This window comes from Homo sapiens, chromosome 20 (assembly GCF_000001405.40).
Source record: "Homo sapiens chromosome 20, GRCh38.p14 Primary Assembly".
Lineage (NCBI taxonomy): Eukaryota > Metazoa > Chordata > Mammalia > Primates > Hominidae > Homo > Homo sapiens.
Genome location: NC_000020.11, coordinates 23,309,225 through 23,336,098, shown reverse-complemented (window position 1 = coordinate 23,336,098; position 26,874 = coordinate 23,309,225). Strand labels below are relative to the sequence as shown.

The following is a 26,874-nucleotide window of genomic DNA, read 5'->3' as shown; positions in this document are numbered from 1 at the left end:
GGGTTCAAGTGATTCTCCTGCCTCAGCCTCCTGAGTAGCTGGGAGTACAGGCGCCTGCCACCATGCCCAGGTAATTTTTGTATTTTTAGTAGAGACGGGGTTTCACCATGTTGGCCAGGCTGGTCTCGAACTCCTGACCTCAAGTGATCCACCCGCCTCAGCCTCCCAAAGTGCTGGGATTACAGGCTTGAGCCACTGCGCCTGGTCAGTTTTTTTTTTTTTTTTAAGTTTCTTCTTGGCATCACCAGTTAAAAGAGATTGAGAACAAGAACGTTCTTTCAGCGTGCCCACACCCCTGCCTGGCTTAACGGGTTTGAAATGTGAGGGGAAGCCAAGTAGCCAGCTTGCCTCTGTTACTCATGGCCCAGTGGGTCGGCTCATGACCCTCAGGCCAGCCTGTGCCACTTTGGTGACTGGTGGCTACTTTGTGGTCAACTCTTGAAGCATCAGCACAGCATGAACAAACCAAAAGTGAAATTCAGAAATGGCTGCAGAAGCCAAACTGTTACCCAGCCCCTCTGAAATCCCCCAAGCACTGGGGGAGCCACAACCAGTTTGGGGGCCATTAGGAACATTTTAATCTATAAGGCTATGTGCTATGGAGGGGTAGGGGAGAGATGGTTGCAGGAGGCCATGGGAGGGTTGAGACCCACAGGCCAGAGTCCAGGCCATAAGACCCTCATGATGAGAATGTTGACAATAACAAAATACTACTACTACTACTGCTGCTACTACTACTGCTGCTGCTGCTGCTGCTGCTGCTGCTGCTACTACTGCTACTACTTACGTTTTAACATTTTTCAGAGCTTTGCTATTTATGATTATTCTGTCCTAGATGATTGCAGCAACATTATGAAGTACGTCTCAGGTTGAGTCCCCTAGAAACAGACCCTGAGATGGAGATTTGCATGTAGGGGTTCGTTGGGGAGGGGATCTTGGGAGTCCCACCTGGGAAGGGTAAGAGAGCAGTGGGGCTTTGATGCTGCTGCAACAGAGGCCTCCACTGGCCCCTGGGGAGCTTGGAGCTTTGGAAACCTGCAGAGTTGAAGCAAGGGTTCCCCGTGTCCCTTCCATAGGCTGCTCATTAGACCAGCGGGGGGTTTGGTGAGGATGCAGAAGGCGCTCAGCCACCAGTGTGGAAGGGGTACCCTGGCCTTGGAGCAGAATCTGAAGAGGACACTGAGCACCCACCACACATGGGCACTCTCAGGATCTCTGCTACAGAGCAGGTGCTGAGTAGTGAGATTTGCCCAGGGAATGAGCCTACCTGGTGGGATCATCATGTGGACCTGGAGGTCCTGACTTACTCAAGACCACTCAGCTACTAAGTGGCCACACTGGGATTCCAGCTAAAGACTGTTTTAGGTTAGAGCTTCCTGATCTCAGAATGGACCCCCTGACCTAAGAATAGGACCCCCCCCCACCTCAGGATGGACTCCCCAACATTAGAATAAACTCTCTGACCTCAGAATGAATTCCTGGGCCTAAGAATGAACTTTCTGACCTCAGAATGGATTCCCTGACCTCAGAATAGACTCTCTGACCTCAGAATGGACCCCCTGACCTAAGAATAAATCCCCCACCTAAGAATGAACCTCCAACCTGAGAATGAACTCCCGAAGCAATAATGGATTCCCTAACCTAAGAATAGACTCTTCAACCTAAGAATAAACTTCCTGACCCAAGCATGAATCCCCTGACCTAATAATAGACTCCCCAACCTAAACAGGAACTTCCTGACCTAGGAATGAACTGCCTGACCTCAGAATGAACTTCTTTACTTAAGAATGAACTTTCTGCCATCAGAATGGACCCTTGACCTCAGAATGAACTCCCCGACCTCAGAATGAACTCCCTGACCTCAGAATGGACTCCCTGACCTCAGAATGGACTCTCTGACCTCAGAATGAACTCTCTGAACTCAGAATGAACTCTCTGAACTCAGAATGAACTCCCTGACCTCAGAATGGATTCCCCGACCTAAGAATGGACTCCCTGACCTAGGAATGAACTCTCTGACCTCAGAATGAACTTTCTGAACTCAGAATGGACTTCCTGACCTCAGAATGGATTCCCTGACCTAAGAATGAACTCCTTGATCATTTTGCAGGTGATGCTCGGGAGCACCAGTAGGGAGTGGGAAAGCAAACAGGGAAGGGAAAGAAGGCCAGCCAGGCACAGTGGCTCATGCCCATAATTCCAGCACTTTGGGAGGCCAAGGTGGGTGGATCACCTGAGGTCAGGAGTTTGAGACCAGCTTGGCCAACGTGGTGAAACCCCATCTCTACTAAAAATACAAAAATTAGCCAGACGTGGTGGTGCACACCTGTAATTCCATCTACTTGGGAGGCTGAGGCAGGAAAATTGCTGGAATCTGGGAGGTGGAGGTTGCAGTGAACCATGATCATGCCACTGCACTCCAGCCTGGGCGACAGTGACACTCTATCTCAAAAAAAAAAAAAAAAAGAAAGAAAGGAGGCACTGGGAATGCTGAGGGGCTCTGGCAAATGGTGATTATCTATCCAGAGCCCTTTCTGAAGCATTGCTCTGCAGACCCGCCAGCCAGGGTTTTCATTAAGTAGCATTAAGTCATAACCTTAAGTAATAAAGCAAGCATGCATAGAAGGGCAAAGCCAGTCACTTCTCAGACCCCGAACCCCTCAGTGAAGGTTGGTGCATGCAACGGGCTGGCCCTTTGGTGGAGACTGAAGAAAGAGTTTATTGCAGGTGGGAATATTATTTAAACAGGGATTGATGGAGGACAAAAGGGGCTTCTGGTTCCATGAGGCAGGAGATAAATGAGATGGGAATCCTGAGTCATGCATTTTATTCACTTCTCTGGAACGAGTTTTGGGGGCTCATTTAGCAGAGAAAATAGGACAAGAAAAATGGACTCAGCTGGCATTGGACAGAGTCAAAGCCAAATGACTTCTGGGTTCTAAATTTTTTTGTTTTGTCTTTATTCATACGTGTTGGTTGTTTGGATTGTTTTTCATTGACCATTGTAAGCTAAATCCATATCAGGAGGATCTGAAAAGCTCATAATAAAAATATAAAGTAGAGACCAAGGGTTGTAAAAGTGGCATTTTACTCAAGATATAGTAAGGCTGTTTTACAATAGTGGGTAGTAATCAATAATTTAAATGAAAACCCTCAAGGGTTAGATGATGATAGAGCTGATGTTCTTCTTATTGACCAAGATGCACCAACCAGTCTTGAAGAGGATCTCGTTTTGTAAAGGAGCCATGCAGAAGAAGAATTCCCAGAGGGAGCCTAATGTCTGTGAAATGTCATATATTGCTTACACAGAAACCAGTTACTCAAAGAGCTATGCTGTTCTTATGCCCTGTGATGGATCTACTGGGGATAGAGATAAGAGCCTGTCTGCCTGCCTCAGCCTGTGCACCTGATCGTTCTTTTCCTGAAGCAACTTGTCATGCCTTCACAGTGCACACCTGACCAGTTCCAAACCAAAAAGGGATGTGCCTGGACGTGTGTGGATAGATGGCTGAGGGAGACATTATTGTTGTTGGTGAGTGAAATTGTTCTTTCTTCCTGGGTCTGGCATTTTATTTGAATGATTCTTTAGAAATTATTTAAAAATTTTCTGCCAGGCAAAAGTTTGTGCAAATGTCAACAAATAGCTTACCCTTACCCAAAAAAGGTGAGATTTGAGGTCTGGAAGTTTATGTAGTAAGGAAGACGCTAATTCTTATGGTTTTAAGATTTATAATGAGAAGTAATGGGGATTTGTCAGCATTGAATTGTGGGGTTTTTAATGAAGCTATTGTGAGAGAAAGATGAATTGACGATCTCAGGATTGAGTCCCTCCTGAAGGAACTTGGTTGGTCAGATATGGCTCTAGTGAACATCTGAGAAACAGAAAAGAAGACTTGAATGTGGTCCTTTCTGTTCTGATACTGTTATCGTCCCAGTCAGTCATGCGTAAAACATCAGCTTAGTCACTTCTTCCTCTTCCCTTTCCAGTCCCTGCCATGGGTCTCTTTTAGTATTTTCCAGTAAACTTTGCTTAGAAAAAACACCAATAAAAATCCTTGCAAATGAAATCATCAGACCCTGAAGAAGTAGCATCTTCTCTAGGGATTGATTCCTTTTCTCCTTCTAACACCACTAATACCTCCCTTGGCCAGCCACTGACACCCTTTTGAGGACTGTATTTTTGGCTTGAAAATTGGCCTGTCAGTAAATTCGAAGGGGTGTGTATTGTTCCAGGGTTGATGTATTATAACTCTGCAGGTGCCCTGCCCAATTCATTTTACTGAGTGGTCACACCCCCAGCTGTTGTGTGTGCTGGCTGGAAATAGCCACATTACAAACATGGTGCCTGTGAGTCAAGGTGGATCAATGCCACAGTGCAGCCCCTGCTCCAGAGCCCCCAGCGGGGCCAGGCTGAGGTGTGACTGCAGCGGATATGAGGCCATCTCACTCCTTCCCTGACTTGTTCTGCTTCCCTCCGTCTCTTCCTCCTGAGTCCTCCCTCCAGTCATGGGCACCCACACCCCTCTCTCTGGCTCTGCTTCTACAAGACCTGACTCGAGGCTCTGCCTTTACACTTGGATTACTGCAAGTGCCTCCATCCTTCTTTGATCTTCTCCAGGTGTCCAGCACCCCCTCCCCTTAGTGCATATTACATAAACTGCTGGACTTAGCTTCCTAAAATGCAGCTCCTGCATATGTCCTTGTTCCTGAATATCTATGGCATTGGTTCTCAAACTTGTGTGCAACCACAAGCAAACAAATAATGCAAGTTTGCTCAAAATGTTGAACTCAAGACCCATCTCTAGTGTTTTGATTCAGTCCATCTGAGCAGGACCTGGGAATGTGAACTTCCACAAGCCCCCACTCCCACCCTAGGTGATTTGTATTTTGAGAAATATACTTTAACACTGATTCTTTCCTGATTCCTATTCAAGTTCTGAAACTGTTTTGATTTCCTTTCTGGAGCATCTTTGAGGTGAGTTTATACAACTCTTTCATCTTTGTGGGAGACAAGCTTGGCCCTATCTCTGAGTATAAGTAATCCTATGTCATAAATATTCGATAAGGAAGAAAGGAAGAAAAGAGAGAAAAAAATAAGGCCAGGAAAGGGGCAGTTGTAGCATGTATGTGGGTGATCATCCTGGGATATGGTGGGTTACCCAGAATGCTACTACACTTGGTACAGTAGTCAGGGTTCTCCAGGGAAACAGAATCAGTAGGATAGTGGAGATATAAATCTATATATCTTCAATGTGTGCTGTTATATATAATATATAATAATAATGTGACAAATTATATGAATATAAATTATAAATGTAAGAATTATATGAATAAATATATTTCCAGATATATATCTAGAAAAAGGAGATTTATTATAAGCCATTGGCTCACATGATTATGGGGGTCAAGAAGTCCTACAATTTGCCATCTGCAAGCTGGGGATTCAGGAAGCCTAGTGCTGTAGTTCAAAGGCCCAAGAACTGGAGAGCCAATGGTGTGGATTCCAGTCCAGTCTGAAAGCCTGAGGACTAGAAGCGCAGAGGGCAGAAGATCCATGTCCCAACTCAAGCAGTCAGGCAGTTCTTCCACCCAAGAACTCAGAAGCCAATGTGCTAAGACCTGGCTGAGACTGGAGACCCGAGAACCAAGAGCTTCAATGTCTGAGGATGGGAGAAGATGGATGGCCCAGTTTCAGAAGAGAAAGCGTTTGCCCTTCCTCTGCCTTTTTGTTTTATTCTGGCTCTCAACAGATTGAATGATGCCCATCCACACGGGGGGGAGAGCCATCGGCTTTACTCAGTCCACCAATTCAAATGCTGGTCTCTTCTGGAAACAGCTTCACAGATACACAAGAAACCACGTTTAACCAGCTATCTGGGCACCCTGTGACCCAGTCAAGTTGACACACAAAACAACCATCACACTTGGTGAAGTTTTATTATATCCTTGACTTGTGTGTGCTGGACTGTTGAGAATAGGGTGCAGCCATGCAAAAGCAGACTGAGTTCCACAAATTGCCTTTGATAGAGAAATTCTCCCAATCTTAATCATTGGGTGGTGGCAACAAGGAATGACTCCAATAGGCACTATGGAGCAAAGAACAGCATCTCACTTCATCAGATACAATTCTTCAGCTAGGGTAGTCGTTTCAGCTCTCAAGGACCTAATCTTTTAGCAGATGGCAAATAAAGGCATTCGTTTAGGTAGCAGCTCAGCAAAAGAGATGGTATCCATCCAAACCAGGGAACTCGGCCTTCCTCATTTTATCTAATTTTTAAAAACTGATAGAGCCCACTGTTAACCATAAAAACAGCAAGCCCCAGTGGGGTCTTGTTGGCCCCATGTCTTATGGGCTCCACCATGAAGGAAAAAGACTGAAGAGATGGGTCTGGGCCCACCAAGAAGAGTGGACAAGGACTGAATGAGAGCCTGCTGGGCAACTACAGGCATGAGGAAGAGATGGGGTTCTAAAGACTTGGGCTGAGAAGGGGAAATGCCTTGGTGGTACCATGGTCCATGAAAACCAAGAGGTCTCAGGAGGGCGGTTCCACCTACGTGTGTGTGTGCAGAGCAGGGGCCCCAACAAGCCAGAAGTTGGCCACCTGCACTTTGTAGGTGCAAGGGCCTGCAGAGATGCACTACCAGCCCTGAATAAGAATGTGGTACATGAACCTTGGGGGTTTCGTGAAGGACCAATGGCTGGGAGCAGCAGGGAAGCCAGGGTAGAAGCCGATGGCCCACCAGGCCAATGTGTCAGGAGTCAACTGCCTCCCCAAAGAAGAAGAGAAGGTCACTTTCTTCTTGAGATCCCTAAGGCAGAGGGCAATGGTGAGGGAAAGGCAGACATCCTTGGCCAAGGCTTACCCTTACCCAGCACAGCTGCTGCTAAAACACAGCCCTGGATTCTCTCTGTTCTTGTGCATATTTCTTAAAGCCTGTGCTGTTGCTTAGGAACAAGCCCTGTAATTTGGAAATCACATCAGATATTTTATTTTAAATAACTTGTGTAAAACAATTGCAAAATTATCATTATTCACTGTCAGGATTCATGATTGGCAGCAGCTCCTAAATTGTGGAGTTTTTTTAGGGGGAGGGAAAAGCAAACTGATGCTCCAAACTGAACATTGTTCTTCAAGATTCTGCTTTTCTCATCTTAAATGGTGATGATTGCTTTCATCTTGGTATGGCTTTGTAGTTTTTGAAGATCTTTGCAATGGTCCTGTCAGATGGGTTTTATGACTGTCTCCATTGTACAGATGAGGAAACCGAGGCTGAGAGGTGAGGTTGGGCCACTGTGAGGAGCAGCGTCATGCTCTTTGTTGGGGTAGGACTCCAGGGAGGGGCTGCACACGCCTGAAGAACCAGCCAGCTACACCTCAGGGCTCTGGCTGGATGGTGCCTTTTGACCTGGCCAAGCTCTGTGACCTGAACCCCTTCCCTGCGCAGCTCCAGGTTACAGCTGGCCAAAGAAAAACTTGCCTGAGATCCAGGAGGCTGCAGTGAGGTGGCAGTTGTCACTCTCAAGCATGGTTGAGGTCGGATATGGCGATGGACAGATGCAGAGATGTCCAACAGGTCCCAGCGTGACATGGCCCTCCTTTGCTCAGGTCCAGCCTGTCCTCTTGACCACCAACCCTGATGACCAGCAGTGGCTCAGGCTTGGGAACTGTGAACATCAAGCAGCGTGAGGTCTGACTGCCAGTTAGAGCAGAAATTTGTTTTTACCTTGAGTTCTTAAATAAAAGAAGTGGACAATTACATAGGAGAACTTTTTGACCTGCAGCTTGAGATGGCACTTTGCTCTTTTGCCAGAAGGGAGAAATCTAATCTCTAGGGGCCCACTGAGGCCCAGTGGCTGGTGCCAGTGTGGTGTCCCTCTGCTCCTGCCGCAGTCTGTGTTGTGCAGACACTGAGCCTCCTGTGAACCCTGTGCAGGGTGCCGGCTGCTGGGGAGACCTTCGGATGGTGGCCAGCGGCCAGAGCGGTATAGAGCTTTCAGGTCCTTGCCCTTCCAGATGCAGGTGATGCTGAAATCCCCAGGCTTCTGCTGGGATCCTATGGCCTCCTGCGGTTCCCTCTTCCCTTGCGTTGCACTGCTTAATTCCCAGAAAAAAATTCCTTGCTATGGCACTGTCGAGAAATGATATCTTCTTGAGGCCGTCTGGGGAGACAAGGGTGTTTCTGTCATTCAGCAGGCTTTAGCCGTCTAAGCCATCCCCACTTTCCTGCCCCGTGGCGCTGGTTGAGGGTCTCCCCTCAAGCCTTCCCAGCCTGCAGCCTCTCTGCGTGTCTGGGGCTCTCCCGGCTCTCTTTACAGCCCTCCTGTGACTTAGGCAAAGATTGTGGGTAAGTTCGTGATGTGCCCCCCAGATGATGTGCCTCATCTGGGATATGGGTGACATCCAGCCCAGGACACTGGCTCTTCCTCATTTCACCTAATTTTTATATATTATTTATTATTTATTAATTTATTTATTTTTTTGAGACAGAGTCTTCTTCTGTCACCCAGGCTGGAGTGCAGTGGCATGATCTCGGCTCACTGCAACCTCCACCTCCTAGGTTCAAGCGATTCTCCTCCCTCTACCTCCCAAGTAGCTGGGATTACAGGCGCCCACCACCATGCCCGATTAATTGTTGTATTTTTAGTAGAGACAAGGTTTCGCCATGTTGGCCAGGCTGGTCTCGAACTCCTGACTTCAGGCAATCTGCCCACCCTGGCCTCCCAAAGTGCTGGGATTACAGGTGTGAGCCACCATGCCCAGACTCATCTAATTTTTAAAAAAACTGGTAGAACCCACTGTTGACCTCAGTAGTAGTGGCCTGTGGGGTCTTGTGGGCATTGTGTGGAGAGAATGTTTGCAATTGCTTCTTGTGTTCCACACATAGCTGTCTGCCTGTCACTGGCTGGTTCCAGAGGGGGAGCAGCTCTGTGTTGAGACTGGAGAGCAGGAGGTTCACCAGGGAAAAACAAGGCTGCAGGTGTCTCCACAGAGGCCTCAGCCACCCCCTGGGGACCTGTCAGGCTATAATGGCTCTTCAGAGCTGGTCAGCTCAGGGGAGGGCCTCCACACTCCAGGTGGATCAGTATTGGGTGCAGCTGCTCCCAGGAGAGACAAGACTTCATGTGGACTCGGCTGGGCTGAGGTGGCTCCTGGAGAGAGCTGACAGCTGAAGGTATCGGCCAACACACCTCCCAGCGGCTGTGGGACAGATTCCTTGGTCCTGAGAGCAGCATGGCTACTGCCATCATCAGCGCGCGTGAGAGGCCTGGCTCGGGAGGGAGGACACCGTGTGTTTCTCTTACTTGTGGGATATGCCAAGTCCTGGGTTTCCAGTGGCTGCCCTGGTGGACAGGGAGGTTGGAGACACGGAGGCTCCATTCCTTCCCCACAGCTTGTCTGCTAATTCCTCATGTCCTCTGAATGAGGAATTGCATTGTGATAACCTCCTGAGAATCTGTGATTTCAGCCCCCTTCATCCCCTGAACCTGAATTGGTTAGGACCTAGATTTGTCTGCTCTGATAGCCACCCCAAATAAGAGAGGTTCCACAAAGAAATAACTTGCATAACTTGCATTCTTTCCACATAATAGTGCAGGTGTAGGAAGTCCAGGCAAATGTGATGGTCCACGGTGTCTGGTACTTTTTTGTCCCATTCCTTATCTTCTTGACCCAAGCAAGATGGTATATTTTGACCAAGGTGGGAAGGAAAGGGGAGACAACTCTTCTTTTTCGGCATCAGCAATCTTGGTGGCTGGAAACGTCCTCATCATCACTCAGATGGCAAAATCGTTAACTCTTCTTTTTAAAGAAGTTGTACACTTCTTCCTGCTTACTTCCTGCTGGCTGGAAATTAGGCACATGGCTATGCACAGCTGCAAAGGATGTTGAGGAATGTGGCTTTTATGCTGAGTGGCCATGTGCTCAGAGGAATATTGGGGATGGAGAAAATGGATATTGAGGGACCATTTTCTTCCTTGATAGACAGCCTGCATTTGTCACTGTGGATTGGGTGTGCCTCTTCTAGAGCTTCCCATGGGGAATTGCACTTATATGTGGTCCTTTGCACTTGGGTTCTTTTGTTCAGCATAATATCTTCAAGACTCATCCATGTTCAGTGCATTGATGGTCTGTCTCTTTTCATCACCGAGTAGCATTCCATATATGGCTATTCCACAATCTCTTTATTTACCTGTGGGCTGTTTCCAGTTTTGGACAAATAGAGCTTCTAGGGGATATTGTCTAGAAGCCTTTTTGTGGTGTTATCTTTTTATTTCCCCTGCCCCCCACACCCCCCCTTTTTCTGAGACAGAGTCTTCCTCTATGCCCATGTGCCCAGGCTGGAATGCTGTGGCACGTTCTCGGCTAACTGCAACCTCCGCCTCCCAGGGTCAAGCAATTCTCCTGTCCTCAGCCTCCCCAGTAGCTTGGACTACAGGCGCCCACCATCATGCCCAGCTAATTTTTTATTTTTAGTAGAGACGGGGTTTCACCATATTGGTCAAGCTGGTCTCTAACTCCTGACCTCAAATGATCCACTTGCCTCGGCCTCCCAAAGTGTTAGGTTTACAGGCATGAGCCACCGCGCCTACCCTTTATTTCCCTCGAGTAAGTATCTAGGGGTAAAATTGTGACCTTGTGGTTAAGTGAACATTTCACTCCTTAAGGAACAGCCAGTTTTCCAAAGCACTTGCACCATCTTACATCCCACCAGCACAGCATGAGAGCTCTTGTTCTTCCACGTCCTCACCAGGACTTCATAGGAACAGTTAAAACACAAAGGACTTTATCTGAGGTATAAGCTAGCAAAACAGCCTCCTGCAGGGATTGCAGTGGATGGAGGGTTTGCTGTAGCTGGAGAGCAGGCTGCATGCTGGAATCAGCAGGAGAGCCATTTAAGCTTGCCCTATCTGGGCCTCGTCCTAGATCAATTAAATCCAAAATTCTGGGGTGGTTCCCAAGCATAAGAACTTTTCAAAGCTGCATAGCTGAGGCTGAGGTCCACTGTTGCAGGAAAGGTAACATCCTACAGAAAGAGCTATTTTGCAGAGAAGGATGGGACCTGGTGCCAGGGAAGGTGCTGCTGCCACCCAAAAGGTAGGAGCTGTCAGTCCCAAAAGACCTTGTTACCCCTTCTCACTCCTAAGGTGTATTCAACCTCCCAGCTGCCCTCTGTCCTGTTTCTGCTGCCTCAACCGATTGCATTTCTTCCTGAGCAGGGGGTGCAGTGGCAGGGTATTGGGCAAAAGCCAGAGAGGGAGCCCTTTTTCTTACTGTTGCCAATGAAACTCATAAAAGAAACAAGAAACACTCTCTGGGTCTCCCTCTCCCCACCAGAAGCCCCTTATGAGTCTCCTGTGCTGGTTTTTCCTCATGGCCCAGTCTTCTAAGCACTGGCATTCAGAGTTCAGTTCCCACACCACTTTCTTTACATTCCCAATATAAACAGAGCCCGTCCTGGGGTCGCACATCCTATCCAATTGTTGCTGACCCCACAACTTACATTTCCTGCTCAGATCCCTGTATTTCATATTGAACCTCCCACCAGCCAGCTCCACTTCTCTTCATTGGGTGCCTAGTAGGATGTCCCAAATCAACACCGCCAAAACCAGGGCTTGACTCTTGCCCTTCCCCACAAACCTTCTTCTTCTCCATCTCACTAAATGACAAGTCCAGTCTCCTGGTTATTCAGCTAAAACTTCTGCGGAGGCAGAATAATGCCGCCTAATGATGACCATGTCCTAATCCAAGGGACCTGTGACTACGTGACTTTACATGGCAAACGAGACCTCTCATGTGTGGTTCAGTTGAGGATCTTGTGATGGGGCAATGATCCTGGCTTCCCCGTCTGGGTGGGCCTGATGTTCTGATAGGAGGGAGGCAGGAAGATCAGAGTCAGAGAAGGGGAGGTGACTACAGAAGGAGAGGCTGGAGTTAGGTGGCCATGAGCCAAGGAATGCAACCAGCCTCTAGAACTGGAAGAGGCAAGGCAAGGATTCTCCCCTAGAGCCCAAAGAAGAAGCCCAGCCCCATGCACACTTTGAGTTCAGCCCAGTGAGACCTGCACCCAGGTTTCTAGAGGGCTGTTTGCTTTATCTGTGTTGTTTCAACAGACTGGTTTCTGGTAATTTGTTGTGCAGCCATGGAAACTGAAAACAATTTTGATTCCTGGCTCCCCTCTGTCACTCACATCCACACCTAAGTCATCAGCAAAACAGGTCAGCTCTGCCTCCAGAATATTTCCAGAATTTCACCACTTCTAAATATCCACTGTCAATCTAAAAAGAAGAAGCTGGGGCACAATTTATATAAGTAGGGTTGATCCGGGCCAACCTTGAGGATTGCAACCTGGGAACATTGATTCAAGCTGCCTGAATACATATACCCCCTCAGCAGCACTCACAAGGGGATTTTCAAAGGCAGAAAAGGGGGACAGGGAGTGGGCCAGTATGAAGTTTTTTGTTAGGAATTCTCATTGGTTTAACTGCAATAATATTGGTTAGTGATTGATTGGCTACACATTGTTAAGTTATAGAGTGTGGGTTATAGTGTCTGCTGAAGCATTATTATGTTAATTAGCTACATAAGACATAGCTACTTGTGGCAATAGCAAGCAGTTTCAGGAGATAAATTCATAGCTCAAGGCAGAAGTAGCACATGATTGCTGTCTCATTTTAATATCTCTCTGGCCTGATGTTTATTTATTTCTATTTTTTATTATTTTTATTTTAATTTTTAAAATTCTTTTACATAGATTTTATTCTTTTACATAGAGCAGTTTTAGGTTCACAACAAAACTGAGCAGAAAGTACAGTGAGATCCATGTACTCCCTTACCCTCAACTTATTATTATTTTTAAAAATTATTTTTTAAATTTCAATAGCTTTTGAGTACAAGTGATTTTTGGTTACGTGTATGAATTGTATAGTGGTGAAGTCAGAGATTTCAGTGCACCTGTCACCTGAGTAGTGTAGTGTACATTGTGCCCAATATGTAGTTTTTCATCCCTCATACCCCTCCCACCCTACCCCTTCTGAGTCTCCAGTGTTCGTTATGCCACTCTGTGTGCCTCCACGCATCCACAACTTAGCTCCCACTTATAAGTGAGAACATGCGGTATTTGGTTTTCCATTCCTGAGTTACTGTACTTAGAATTATGGCCTCCAGCTCCATCCAAGTTGCTGGAAAAGACACATTATTTTGTTGGTTTTAATGCCTGAGTAGTATATTCCATGGCACATACATCCCACATTTTCTTTATCCACCCGTTGGTCAATGGACACTTAGGTTGGTTCCATATCTTTGTGATTGTGAATTGTGCTGCAATAAACATACATGTGCTGGTGTCTTTTTGATATAATAATTTATTTTGCTTTGTTTAGATAACCCAGGAGTGAGATTGCTGGATCGAATGGTAGATCTACTTTTAATTCTTTAAGAAATCTCCATACTGTTTTCCACAGAGGTCGTACCAATTTACATCCCACCAGCAGTGTATAAGCATTCCCTTTTCACCCACACCCACACAAACATCTATTGTTTTTTGACTTTTTAATGTTATTCTTGCAGAGTAAGGTGATACCTTATTGCAGTTTTAATTTGAATTTCCCTGATGATTAGTGATGTTAACCATTTTTTTAACATGCTTGTTGTGGGTTTGACATTTAAAAAGACTCATATTCCTCAGATAAGTTTTTTTCTTTTTCATCCCCACCCCCACTCTCCCCGTCCCAGTTGAGCCTCCATCATCTCTCACCTGGACTGGTGCAGTCTTCTCCAAGGTAAAGATGGCTAATGGTCTCCCGCATTCATCCCCCTTTTTCCTTAGGAACAGAACTCCCGATTATTTTGAAGTGGGAGGGCACATGGTAGCTCAGAATACAGACCTGCATTTGCCAGCCTCCCCTGGAGCTCTGGCCAATAGGAAATAAACAGAAGTGTCCTATACGACTTCTAGGAAATACACTTAAAAGGACAGAATGGGTTCTTCTTTGACCTTTCCTTACAGCAGCTTGCTGGAATGCAGGCGTGCTGGCTGGGACTGAACCACCCTCTGGGACTGTGAGGCAGCAATGTTGGATGGCGGGGAAGCAGGCTGGAAGAAAATTTAAGGTCTCCATTACCAGCCTCAATCGGCCTATCTCTATACTTGGTTTACATTAGAGAGAGAAGCAACTGTGTTACTGAAGTCATTGTTATTTGGGAATTTTGGCCCCATGCAGCTGATCCTAATTAGCTACATCTCTGATATAGTTTCCTGCCCCTGCCCTTACCCAACCCCCTCATTTTTTATTTCCAACATAGCAACCACAGTGGTTCTTTAGAAACTTGTCAGTCCCCCCCAGCTCAAACCCTCCTTTGGCTTCCCGCTCACTCTGACTATAAGCCAAAATCGAATCAAAGCCAAGTCCCTGCATGGCATGCACCTTCCATCTCCCCACCTCATCTTCTCCCCCTTGTACCCTTGTTCACACCAATTCAGCTCCAGTGCCCTGTTTGCTGTTCTCAGAGCAAGCTGTGTTTGCGCCTTTCCCAGGGCTGAGGGTTAGAGGTTAGCTGTTCTTGCAGTGGACGCTGACAGGGCTGGCTTTCTCTTTTCATCCTAGTTTCTGCTCAAATGTCACCTCATCTGAGAGACCTTCCCTGACCCTCCTACCTAAAACAGCTCACACCTTCCCCATCCCTCTCTAGCTGAGTGCCTTTTTTCTCTACACGTGATAAGGACAGGAGACAGGGAAATACTGAGAAGTGGGCGGTTCCCCAGCAAAGATCCCACCCTCAAGCCTGGAAACCCGTGGCCCTAAATGGGAACAGCCCTTCCTGTTTTCAAGCCCAAAAGTTGCCTTTTGGCCTGCTGTGCCCCCCTATCCTGTACTTGTACAAACCCCAGACCCTAGGCTTCAGAAGCAGACGAGGGAACGAGCAGAAGAACAGAAGAACAGCAGAATGGCATGGCAGAGAGAAGAAAGGGACCATCTGAACGCCAAGAGAAATTCAGCTGGGGGAGGTCAGAGAGGAGATAGACTGCAGGACAGCCAAGCTCCAGGGGAAGATCATCTTCCCACTCCATCCCCTTTCCAGCTCCCCATCCATCCCGCTGAGAGCCACCTCCACCACTCAATAAAACCCTGCATTCACCATCCTCAAGTCTGTGTGTGACCTGATTCTTCCTGGATGCCGGACAAGGACCTAGGTACCATGAGGGCACTGAGCTGGTTAACACTTAAGCTATCTGCAGGCAGCACAGCTAAAAGAATGCATGGTAACACATGCCTACTTGGGCTTTGGGAGTTGCAGGCACCCACCCCTAGAAGCTACCATGGGGCTGGAGCCCCAAGGTGCTTGCCCTGGCTCCTGCACCTGCTTGTCTGCATGCTCCCCTTCCTGTAAGGGGTTTGCACAGGTGAGGTGGCCAAACAGATGAGCCACACCCCTATTGCGTGTCATGTGAGGAGGTTCAGGGAACTCTTCCATTTCACGTGGACTTCCCACTGAAGTTGTATATTCATTTCCTTGTGTGCCGTCCCCTTCCTCTCCACTAGAGGGAAAGTTCTTTGAGGCTGGGCTAGCCTCCGTCTTGTGTGCAGCTTTATCCGCATTACTCAGAGCAATGCCTGATGTGCAACAGGTGCTCAGCTAGATGAATGCCGGAACAAATAAGCAGCGTGAGAGGGGCTCCTGGCTTTTATGGGGAGGAAGACACAACAACCGTGGAGAACCAGGATGCTTGGACCAGATCACTGTGGAGTCTGGGATCTTGTTTCCAGCTGGCCAATTTTTATTGAAAAAGGGTCTTGCAGGCCGGGCATGGTGGCTCAGGCCTGTAATCCCAGCACTTTGGGAGGCTGAGGCGGGTGGATTATTTGAGGTCAGGAGTTCAAGACCAGCCTGGCCAACATGGTGAAACTCGTTCTACTAAAAATACAAAAATTAGCCAAGTGGTAGTGGCATGCAACTCTAATCCCAGCTACTCAGGAGGCTTAGGCAGGAGAATTGCTTCAGCCTGGGAGTGGGGAGGTTGTGGTGAGCAGAGATGATGCCACTGCACTCCAGTCTGGGTGATAGAGTGAGACCCTGTTTCAAAAAAAAAAAAAAATAGATAAAAATGTTCTTGCAGATCTGAGTCAAAATAATTCAGAGTTCTTTTCTTGAATAAATATTTAGTTCTTCTGGGTCATTGCTCTAAATCAGTGGTTCTCAAGGCGGGACATTTTGCTCCCAGAGGACATTTGACAGTGTCTGGAGACAGCTGGTCACACTGGGACTGGGGGTGCTGCTGGCATTGAGTGAGTAGATGTCAGGGGCATTACTTAGAAAATACTTCAATGCACAGGACAATACCACACAATAAAGAATTACCCAGCCCCGAATGTTAATCATGCTGAGATTGAGAAAGTCTGGTTTAAACATCTCATGAAATAACAGGATTCAAATCATATCATATGCTGCTGGTATAAATACAGAATTCTGTGAGATTCTTCAAGTTCAGGAGAAGTGGGAGGAAGACTATATTTTGCTTTCAGGATCATCAGTCCTTAGTTATTTACAAGTGTTTCCATAAATAGATCAATAACCCAACAAACATTTACTGAGTATCCCAAGTGTGTGGCGTACTGGTTTATTGCATTATTATTTCTTTCTCTCTCCACCTCTGCTCCCCTCCACACCCCACCTCTGGGCCTTGTCACTGGACTTTTGCAATCTTACTGTACCATGGAACCTCTTCTAAGAATGAATAAAGGAAATTCACATCAGAAGGTAGACAACATGGAACTCAGGTGGAGGGGTGGGCGTTGGGCCACGTGGCTGTCTTTAGGCCAAGGAAATTTCCCAGACGGGCTTAGCAGGGAGCCTTTGGCGCCACCATCGTGGTCTGTTAGGGGATGAGGGGTGTCTGGGAAACCACAACACAGCATTCACCATGGCCTTTCCCATTCCATGATGGCTTATTTAACTGAAGCTCTATTCTTCCATTTTATAGGGAAAACCCAAACATGAATTGTTCCTAGTTATTCCCAGATATCAACTTCTCTTCTTTCTGATAGATGAATAACCAAAAGACATATTGTTTGAAAATTGTTGCTGTTTCCATTCTAATTAACAAGATCTTACTTCACAAGAAAATCAAGATTTAAAAAAACACACCTGGCAGGGCTGGGGCAGGGAAAGAAGGCAGGTGAGGATTGACATTGGCACAGCAAGATTCATGGGACTGCTTTAAAGAGCTCCATCCTCCAGCAGCCATGCTTTGCCGTAATTGCATTGCCATGTGCCCTTTGAGGAAGTCCACTTCTCGATTTCCACAACAGACTATATCATCCCTTCTGCCTTCTTCCAGTGTCTTCTAGATATGTAATGCATTTAGTTTGCACTTTAAAACTCAGAATGTCTGAAATTAGCAGAAAAGAATACGTCCATGTGGTTAACTTTGCCTAAACTTAATGAAAACCAGAATTCTTCCAGCACTGGCCCCCACCCTCCACACAGCTCCCTGTGTGGGCTTCTCCTGCAGAGCTCAGCCGCTCGTCGCTCTAGGACCCATTTATAATATTGCATCTCACCTTGGGGAATAATGTGTTCAGTTGGTAAGGGTGAGGGGTGGATGAAGAAGCATAATTCAGGGTGCACGATGCCTGCAAGGTCTGGATGCAACAAGAACACAGAAAAGATTATGTTGGTTTTATCCTCTCACTGCTGTTAGCTTAATTGTTGTTTATTTAGAGGATTAGGGCAGACAAAAAAAAAAAAAAAAAAAAAAGGACTGAGCACAGTGGCTCATGCCTATAATTCCAGCACTTTGGGAGGCTGAGGCAGGAGAATCCCCTGAGGTCAAGAGTTTGAGACCAGCCTGGCCAACATGGTGAAACCCCATCTCTACTAAAAATACAAAAATTAGCCGGGTATGGTGGAGGATGCCTGTAATCCCAGCTATTTGGGAGGCTGAGCCTGGAGAATTGCTTGAACCCAGGAGGGTGAGGCTGCAGTGACCAGAGATTGTGCCATTGCACTCCAGCCTAGGTGACAAGAGCAAAACTCCGTCGCGAAAAAAATAAATAAAAAATAAGACAAATACAAGTAGTTTGCAAAACAAGCCTGTCTGCAAGTGGTTCCCTCTATACCATATAGTTTTGCTCTTGCAGCTTCTCACAGGGGCTTCTGCTTGGGCTTAGGACAGAGTCTTGTAGTGACACAGGCAAAAATATTATAGGGAAATCATCGAAGCCCTTCCAAAAAATATCTTCCCCCATGGAGATGGAAGGACAGCCGGGCGATTTTGCTTTATGACACTTTTGAAGGTGCTTGAGTTCTCACTTTCAAGCAGGGATCTCAATTCTGAGCGTCTGAGTTCAGGTCCTATACTTTCTGGTTAATTTACCAATCTTGTGTTGACACAGGCGAATCTGGAAACTGGAGAGGACATTTGCAAAATATTTTGAGAAAGTCACTCAAGAGGGTGGGGCACGAGCTCCCTAGCAAGGATAGAAAAAGTTTCTGGGCTACTCTGACCTAGTTATAAATTTAAAATTATACCTTTCCCTTAAGGCAAACAACTCCTACAGCACAGGGTTGGCAGTTGGGAAGAGTGGAAACAATGAAGAAGGAGCCAGGAAACCCAAGCACCAGTCTTGCTTCCTGCCAACTCATAGGTTTGTTCCTCCCCGCTTTCATTCAGTTGTTAAATTCATTTGCTGAGCACTTTGGAGGGGTGGAGTGGAAGAAAGCCATGGGAAAGTTGCACAAACATAGAGCATCTTGGTTTTCCCACATGGGATCTTTTGGCCTTTGACATGCACATTAGATCCTCCTCACCACCCGTGCATGGCCACCCAGGTGCCTGGCGCCAGGGCTGACTTCCCAGCACATGGTATGTGCAGTCGCACAGGGCTCAGAAGGGCCCCATGCTAGGTTAATGCTTTGTGGTCATCGTCTTGAGATTCTTAGTCAGTTTTGAACAAGGGAACCTGCATTTTCATTTTGCACTGGGCCCTGCAGATTAAGTGACTTGTTCTGTCTGGAACTTTGGTTTTTTACTCAAAGGAGGAAAGAACAATGTGACTGTGCATGGTGGCCCTTAGAGAAGATGGAAGGACATTTGAACGCAGTGCTGTGGACAGGGTCTGGGCAAGGCAGAGTTGGAAGAATGGGCCTTAAGAAAAGAACCCCATGAGGCATCTGGATGAAGGCCAAGTTGCCTTGGGCCCAAGGGACCACATACATGATAGAAGAACCCCTCACCCTGCACAGAGCCCAGCCCTGCCTCAACATCCAAATAGCTGGGAGAGCTCAGGATGTGGAGCGTGGTGTGCCTGTGACAGGCACAAGTGGCAGGTGGTTTGTGGGCAGCAGAAGTTAACAAGGAACAGCCACTGAGGGGACAGGGAGCATGGTGGACACTCTGTGCTGGCTGCTGAATAGTCTGTGGACTCAGGTATGGTTGCCATCTGGGAGCGGAGTGGGGATTGGAACCATTTTATTTGCGCATTGGGATAATTTGTACTGTGAGAGTTTAGTAGCCCAGAGATATCTGGGGGACAGGTAAACAGGAGTCCGGGGTCCTCTGGCTCAGGGTTGCTGTGAAGCTTAGGAACCTCAGTGTTACCTTCATTAGGGCACAGCCTGTGGTTGACTAGGTGCTCAGTAAGCAGTAGTAGTCACAGTGACTACTCTGCAAAACATGCCATGATTCTATAAAGCTGGAGGTAGAACACAGAGAAGCTGGGATTCTCTGCTGCTAAATAGAACATAAGACTGGGTGGGCCTTCAAAGTCACAAAGTCCACATGCTTCCATATCTGGAAGGAACTAAGCCCATAGCTGAGTAGTGTCATTCCCTGGATCCTGGGGCAGGAAAAAATATTTCGACTTCCTGACTCCCAAAGGAGCACTACTTCCCCAAGACCAGACTAGGACATCCCTAGGTGGTGTAAGGTCTGGAAGCCCAGTGATGTCTGGTGCAAGAGAGCTGATGGAAACTGAGGGAGGCTGGCAGGGAGTGGCTCTGCTGGGTCCTCCTGATACCTTGCACTGGTGAGTCTTGTACATCTCTCAGGTCTCAGTGTAGATGTTATTAAACAGCAGAGGCTTCTTGGAACCTCTCAGCCACATTAGGGGTGCATGATATACCCAGAGGAACATGTAAGACTGGTTGCCAAACTGTGCATTGATTCTGTGAGCTCTTAGACAGCTTTCTATTGAAATTTCCCTTTTGGCCTGCCTTAGCCAGCTTCAGACTCTGTTGCTTGCAAACAAGGTCCCTGACTGTTCCAGGTACCCTGGATTGGTCTGTGAGGACAGGGGAAATGAATGAGGGTGGATGTGTCGGGGATACACAGGAATGATCTCAGCAGGAGGAGCCTGCAGCCAGAGTGCATTGAAATCTTGCCAGGTGATGGTGGGACCAAAATGAACGAGACAACAGCTCTTCATGACTTGCCAGAATATTGTTGAATTCAGTGTGCTTGTTTAGAAAGTGGGGCGAATGTCCCTGCTTGGGCAGGACTGGCTGATGGGAAAGGGCACGGAGATGGGACTGAAGCTGGTTCTCACCTGGTGTACATGGCTCTCCATGTGTGCTCATGTTCTCAGGAGGGGTATATTTTGTGCTGATCAAAACTCTGTGTCTTGAGCAATTTCCCTCGTGGCCCCATTTTGGAGATGGAGCATGAAAACGCTGGACTCCAGAGAGCAATCCTGCAGAGACAGGAGTTTTGGTCTGCCAAGAACAGCATGTTTGTTTGGATCAGCCAGGGTGTGGAGGAGCCTTGGGTGACCCGACGCTCTCTTTGAATGGGAATGAAACTGACCTTCAGCCCAAAGTGAGACCAGAAAAACACGTTTTCTCATAGTTCTATTCACTGAACCGGCGGCTGATGCATTGACACATGCCGGCTGGGGTTGTACTCCCTGGATGCATGCTTGTTTGTAATTGTATTTCTGAGTGAAAAAGCATTTCTAGTGAAGGCCATAGGGAGACATGCCGATGGTCATTTCCCCAGGAATTTGAAGGAAACACCTTAATGAGACATAGCAAATGTGCAGCTTTGACACGGGAGCCAGGCATCCCTCCCATGTGTAGCAGCCTGTCCCCTTGATCATCAGAGGATCTCTTGGGGAATATCTCCCTTCCTTTCAACCTTTAGCAGAGGCCTAAATGTTGCACATCCTGAGGTTCCTTTGTGCTTTTCCTGGCACTGTGACACATGCTTATAGTGAAATGGTTCCCAGCGAAGCCTCTTAGGGCTACACCCCTCTGCGACGTGAAGTTGCTGTTCTTCCCAGCAAGAAGTGAAGCCTCTAATTTGGATTAGCCCTGGGAATTGCTTTGACCAGCAGACTGGAGGAATGACATTCTAGTTCTGGTCTCGAGAACTCCCATTCTCACTCTCTTGGAGCCTGAGACCTCCATGATAGGTGGAAGTATGGTGCAGCCTGTGGGAAGAAGACTGAGACATTCCAGCCAGCAGCCACCACCAGTGCCAACCAGACGTGGGGGCAAGGTCATCCTGGGCTGTCCAGCCCAGCCCAGCCCAGCCATCAGCTGAAGATAGCCACAGCAGCAAACCCTGACTAGTACAGGAGAATTGCCTAGGCAACCCACAGAACTGTGATATATATAGTACATTGTTATTTTAAGCCACAAGCATTGGGTTGGTTTGTTACACAGCAATAGATAACTGAAACAGACAGACACTAGACCAACTTATTGAGAGTGGCTGAAAGGTTCTCTGGGGCTATTTCTTCTACTTTGACAGCAGCATCAACTACTCTGTATTGAGAGTAAGTAAATAAATGACAATCTAAGTTTAACTGCTGTTGCCCGGACACAGTGGCTCACATCTGTAATTCCAGCACTTTGGGAGGCTGAGGCAGGAGGATCTCTTGAGGTCTCATACCAGCTTGGACAACATAACAAGGCCCTGTCTCTAAAAAAAATTAGCTGGGAGCAATGGCGTGTACCTATAGTTCTAGCTACTTGGGAGGCTGAGGCAGGAGAGTCAGTTGAGCCCAGGAGTTCGAGGCCGCAATGAGTTATGATCACACCACTGTACTCCAGCCTGGGTGACAAAATGAGAGCTTGTCTCAGAAAGTAAAATAAATAATTAAATAAAGCTTCAATTACTCACTCCATGAAATTCACTCTCTATATAAAAACTTGAAGGATATATATATATATAAAAAATGTATAGATATCAAATATATTTATATATATTTATGTATCAAATATATATATATCAAATATATTTATATATATATTTGAACTCCTTAGCTCTACACCAAAAATCTAATTCCTTCTACATGTTATTTCAGTGTCAAAGATTATTATTGTTATTATTTGTTCTGAAGATATGGCCCTGAATCTACCAGAGTCAGTTTTTAAAATGTCCTCATACCAAGTATTTAGGGGTGACATATCACGATGTCTGGGGTACGCTTCACATATTTAACAATTATAAAAATTCTTTATTCCATATTCCAATGTCATCACAGTCAGTATAATCATTTTTTAAGTGTTTATGACATCTGACAAACATGGTGAAAGTTTCAGCATTGCTATTTGTCGTCCACTCCCTTGCTCTGTGCTCTCTGCTTTCTGGAAGTGTGTTCCCTGTGAATCTGCCATTGGCTGGAATTCAGGAGGAATGAAGGGAAAGACAGAGTTGGGGAAGGAACTCAGCCAACAATGATTTGTAAGTTTCCCATTTTATTTTATGCATGCAGTGGGGGTTTAAGGAGATAAAGGAAGTCCTGGCCTTCAAGGTCTGCTTGATTGTTGTACCTGAGGGGTGATGATGGCATCTTCCTCATCTTTGTGTCCTCAATACCTGGCCCTGGGCCTGGGCTAGGATTGTCTCCAAAAGATGTTTGGTGGTGGGGGTTAGTGGTGAAGGAAAGAGCTTTCCAGGTCTTTGGGAAGATGGGGCATAACCAAATAAAAGCATGTCTTCATTGAGTGCTCTACAAAGAGAAGGTGCCATACACTATGGCCACCGAGTTCCTATAAAAGGTATGTTTCCAGCACTGACCATTCCCTTGCCTGGCCTCCTGTGGGCAGAGCTCTGCATTTAAACATGTTAGATGCCAAGCCTTGGACAAAGAGCATAGGCCAGTCTACTGAATCCCGTCACCCTCCAGCACTGACATTCTTGGCCTTTGCCCAGAATGAAGCTCCTCCAGTCATCCATCCCCCCCGAGAGCTCTCTCTGCCTCTTCTGCTGCTACCTTCACTCACTCCTCCACTTACCCATCTGGTGAAGCCCTGGGAACACCTCCATCACAGTCCTATCCTGCCATTTTGGGATCTTTTGCTTATTTTTCTGCCTTCTTCACTTACCAGCAATCCTGATCATGGAGATCAGGATTGTGTCTTGGTCATTTCTATTTCTTGGGATCCAGTTTAGTGTTTGGCTGAAGATGGGTGCTCAAGATGTTTTTAAAGTAAATGAACAGGGCAATCTTTGAAAGAACAATCTGATTCCCTGTCTTTGATAGACAGGATGTGGGGACACTAAAATAGTCTGTGTCTGTCATTAATTGTATTTCTAAAAAGTAAAGACAGATAAGCCTATATCCTTTTTTCCAAGGATCATTTTGGGAACCTGACAATATTTTACAAAGAACTTTCTGATTTATCTTTCTCTGCTTGCCTCATCGTCCAGGACAAACACAAAGAAAATCACTTAGGTTTCCAGAGCTTCATCAGTCAAAGCAATGAACCAAGATGTTGTTAGCTGAGAACCCTGGTGACAAAGGTTACCAGGTTGCTGTTAGTGCAGTAACATCTATGGCTGTCCTTACACCAGGAATGCTTTTATTTGAGGCAGCCTCCAGTGTGGGAAATACTGACAGCTCCTTCTTGCCTTACCACTCCTAGGAATAAAGACAGCTGTTACCTCAAACACCTCCTAACGCACAAAATGACAGCCGTCTGAGTTGACTTGATTTGTCAGCTCTTTATCAGAAGGTCGCAGACAGAGTGCACAAGTCAGAGTGACGCCTCCTCCCCTGAGTCCCTGGAGAAAGGGCAGCTCTTTTCCTGTGATTAACAAGTCTCTACATTTTTGTCCTGTTTATCAATGTCCCTGAGAGGTCGCACACAATAGAAAACATTGATGACAACGTTTTTCATCCTTTTTCATCTTCTGGGGTTCAGGATTACAAGGAAAACTCTGCACTGTCCTTGGTGTTGCTCATGACATACACATATTCACTCTTTCACTCGCTTGTTCAACAGATAGTAACTGGGCATCGACTTACTGCCAGGTGTGTACTTTTGAATGTGAAATACAGCAATAAACAAGAGTCATGGCCCTGCCCTTGGGTGGCAAAACAGATAACACACACGCTCACACACACACACACAAACACAGAAGATGATAAAGAAATTTGGGGCACATTGTATGTTATGAAGGGAACAGAACCTAGAACCCTGCATGATCTATTTATAAATAAAGGAATTGCAAAGAAGGAGTGACTAGCAAGTAAGAAAGGGAAGACTGGGTGTAGACAGGATTGTCAAGAGAAGGCCTCTAAGAGTAGGCTTTTAGCCAAGTCCGTGAAGATCGGGGGAAAGATCATTGTAGGCAAAGAGAATAGCTAATGCAAAGGCCCTGTGGTAGACTAGATTTGGGAGTGTTCAAGGAGCAGAAGGAGGACCCCATGGCTGGTGCACAAGGTTGGTGGGAAGGCATTCCTGCCACAGAGTGGCATAGGATGAGGCTGGAGGAGCCTCTGGAGACAGGTCACGCCTAGCCTGGTGTGGCAAGGAACAGGGAGGAATGCTGTTCATACCTAATGGGAGCTGTCAAAATAGTTGCAGGTGCAGCAGTGATGTAATGCATGCACATTAAAGGGCACCCCCCTCCCCGGGCTCTGTGGGAAATGGGTTGGAGAGCTGGAGTGGGAGGGGAGGGGGACAGGGCGGGTGGTGGTGGGTAGGAATGGATGGGCGCAATCTGAAGCACTTGAAGAGAGGTCGTGGTGGTCAGGGAAGGTGACAGGAGTGAAAAACGGAGCAAAGGGGCCATGGGTGAGATGCATTTTGGGGATTTCATAATCTGGCATTGCTGTTGGGGTGAGGAAAGGGAGGAACCGCCTTTCCTGCCTTGACCTACCGTGTGTGGAGGAAACCAGAGCACATGTGAGCCCTTCTGTGTATAAAGTTCATGAGGCATCCACATGGGGTAAACCCTGGAAAATCAAAACTGGAGCTGAGGGGAGAAATGGGTCTGGATTTATAACAGGGAGTCATTAGGCTTATAGGGTTATTTGAGTTTATGGGAATGGGTGAACGTGTCTATAGTGAGAACTTCCACGGGTAAGAAAAGAGCATTTAGGGCGAGAGAGAAGTGGAGAGCAGGCCAGACTCTGATGGGATAGCCAGGGCCAGGGAAGGGGCACAGCCCCAGAGAAGCTGTGGGTGGGTGTGAGTCCCCGAGGCCAGTGGAACCCTCGGCTTACCAGCAACTGGGGGCAGCAGAGGCAGCCAGGCCTAAGGGTAGAGCCAGCCCCTGTTTCTACTTTTTTGGGGTGAAATAGGAGCAAAGGTCGTGAGCAGGGGTAGGACCAAGTATGGGGGGAAGATGAGGAATGCACAGTCCTAGGCCTGGAGGGAGAGTCCGGCCCAGGGCAGGTGGGATGCACCCATGTCGTGGGGGCTGGTGGGCTCCCTGCAGGGTCTTGCAACCCAGGCTGGTGCAGGAGGGACTGTTGCAGGGTGAGGAAGTGGGGGTGGGGTGGGATGGTGTCTGGGTGAAGCTCTGGATGGATAGCAGGAGGTGTCAGAGTGGATGAGCTGAAGGAGAAAGGAGGTAGTGGCTGCAGACAGGTGTGAAATTAGAATTTAGATGCTGTCAAATGTCATGTTCACATGTATTTCTGGGGTGAAGATGATCCCAATTAATGAATTCTTTCTAGCAGTCACTTTGTTATCTCTGTGATTATTCACAGTGCGTCTTTGTGCGGAGGCTGCGGCTCCTGGGTTGACTCGTCTGAAATGTCACCTCTAATTGGGAAGCCACATCTCTCACAGATGGCCAGGCTGTACGCAACTCTTGGCTGCTGGATCTGTGGCCTTGCAGAGACGGCTGAAGCAGGAACACCTGGCGGCGATGACTGCAGATGGGTCCACAGGAACTGGTAGCAGAAACAAGAGAGCAGCCTTACCAGGCATGAGAAGTGGGGCCTTCCGTGAGAGAGTGAGCAGGAGAGACAGGCAGAGCATGAGAAGCTGGCGGGTGGCCTGGGCAGAGGTGAGGGGGCAGGAGAAGGAGGGTGTGGAGCTTTGACCCACTGGCATATCATCTCCATCTCCACTTGGATTGGTTGTCCTTTACTGCATAACATATGTCCTCTAAACATGGGGGCTTCCAACTACAGTGATCATTTTACTATCTCCCACAGTTTCTCTGGGTCAGAAGTTCAGACATGGCACAGTGGGATGGCTTGCTTTTGCTCCATCATGGGCCTCAGCTGGAAGATGTGAAGGTCATAGACTGGAATCTCTGAAGACTCATCTAGCCACAAGCCTACAGGGTGCTGGCTCCAGCTGGGACACCACATGAGCCTCTCCATGTGGACTGGGCTTCTTTATAACATGGTGGCCGGTTCCATGGGCAAGCATGGAGGAGCGGGGGAGAGAGATAGAAAGGGAGATGGAGGAGCAGGAAGAGGGAGACAGGGGGAGAGAGGGAGAGATGAAGAGAGAGAGGAAGGCAGGGGAGGAGGAGGGTGAGAGGGAGGGAGACAGAGAGGAGGGAGACAGAGAGGAGGGAGTGGGGGAAGGGGAGGAGGAGGGAGACAGGAGGGAGTGGGGGAAGGGGAGGAGGAGGGAGACAGAGAGGAGGGAGTGGGGGAAGGGGAGGAGGAGGGAGACACAG

The 26,874-nt window shown here is 47.4% G+C and overlaps 2 long non-coding RNA genes across 5 annotated transcripts in view; both read left to right on the top strand.

Moving 5' to 3' along the window:
- The window catches only part of NXT1-AS1 (NXT1 antisense RNA 1), a 42,012-nt gene extending 15,369 nt beyond the window's left edge, over positions 1–26,643 (top strand). Inside the window, exons 2-3 of the long non-coding RNA XR_937384.2 lie at positions 25,946–26,247; positions 26,399–26,643. This is a non-coding gene — a long non-coding RNA (NXT1 antisense RNA 1). The remainder of the gene's footprint in view (positions 1–25,945; positions 26,248–26,398) is intronic.
- LOC105372571 (uncharacterized) lies at positions 232–15,146 on the top strand. Of its 4 annotated transcripts, none has more exons than XR_937379.3 (3): positions 232–3,532; positions 13,734–13,780; positions 14,890–15,146. It is a non-coding gene; the product is annotated as an uncharacterized LOC105372571 (long non-coding RNA). The 4 variants fall into 4 exon arrangements; XR_937381.3 differs by having other exon boundaries at positions 2,473–2,727; positions 3,310–3,532; positions 13,734–15,146; XR_007067747.1 differs by lacking the exon at positions 13,734–13,780.
- Positions 26,644–26,874: the final 231 nt, after the last annotated feature.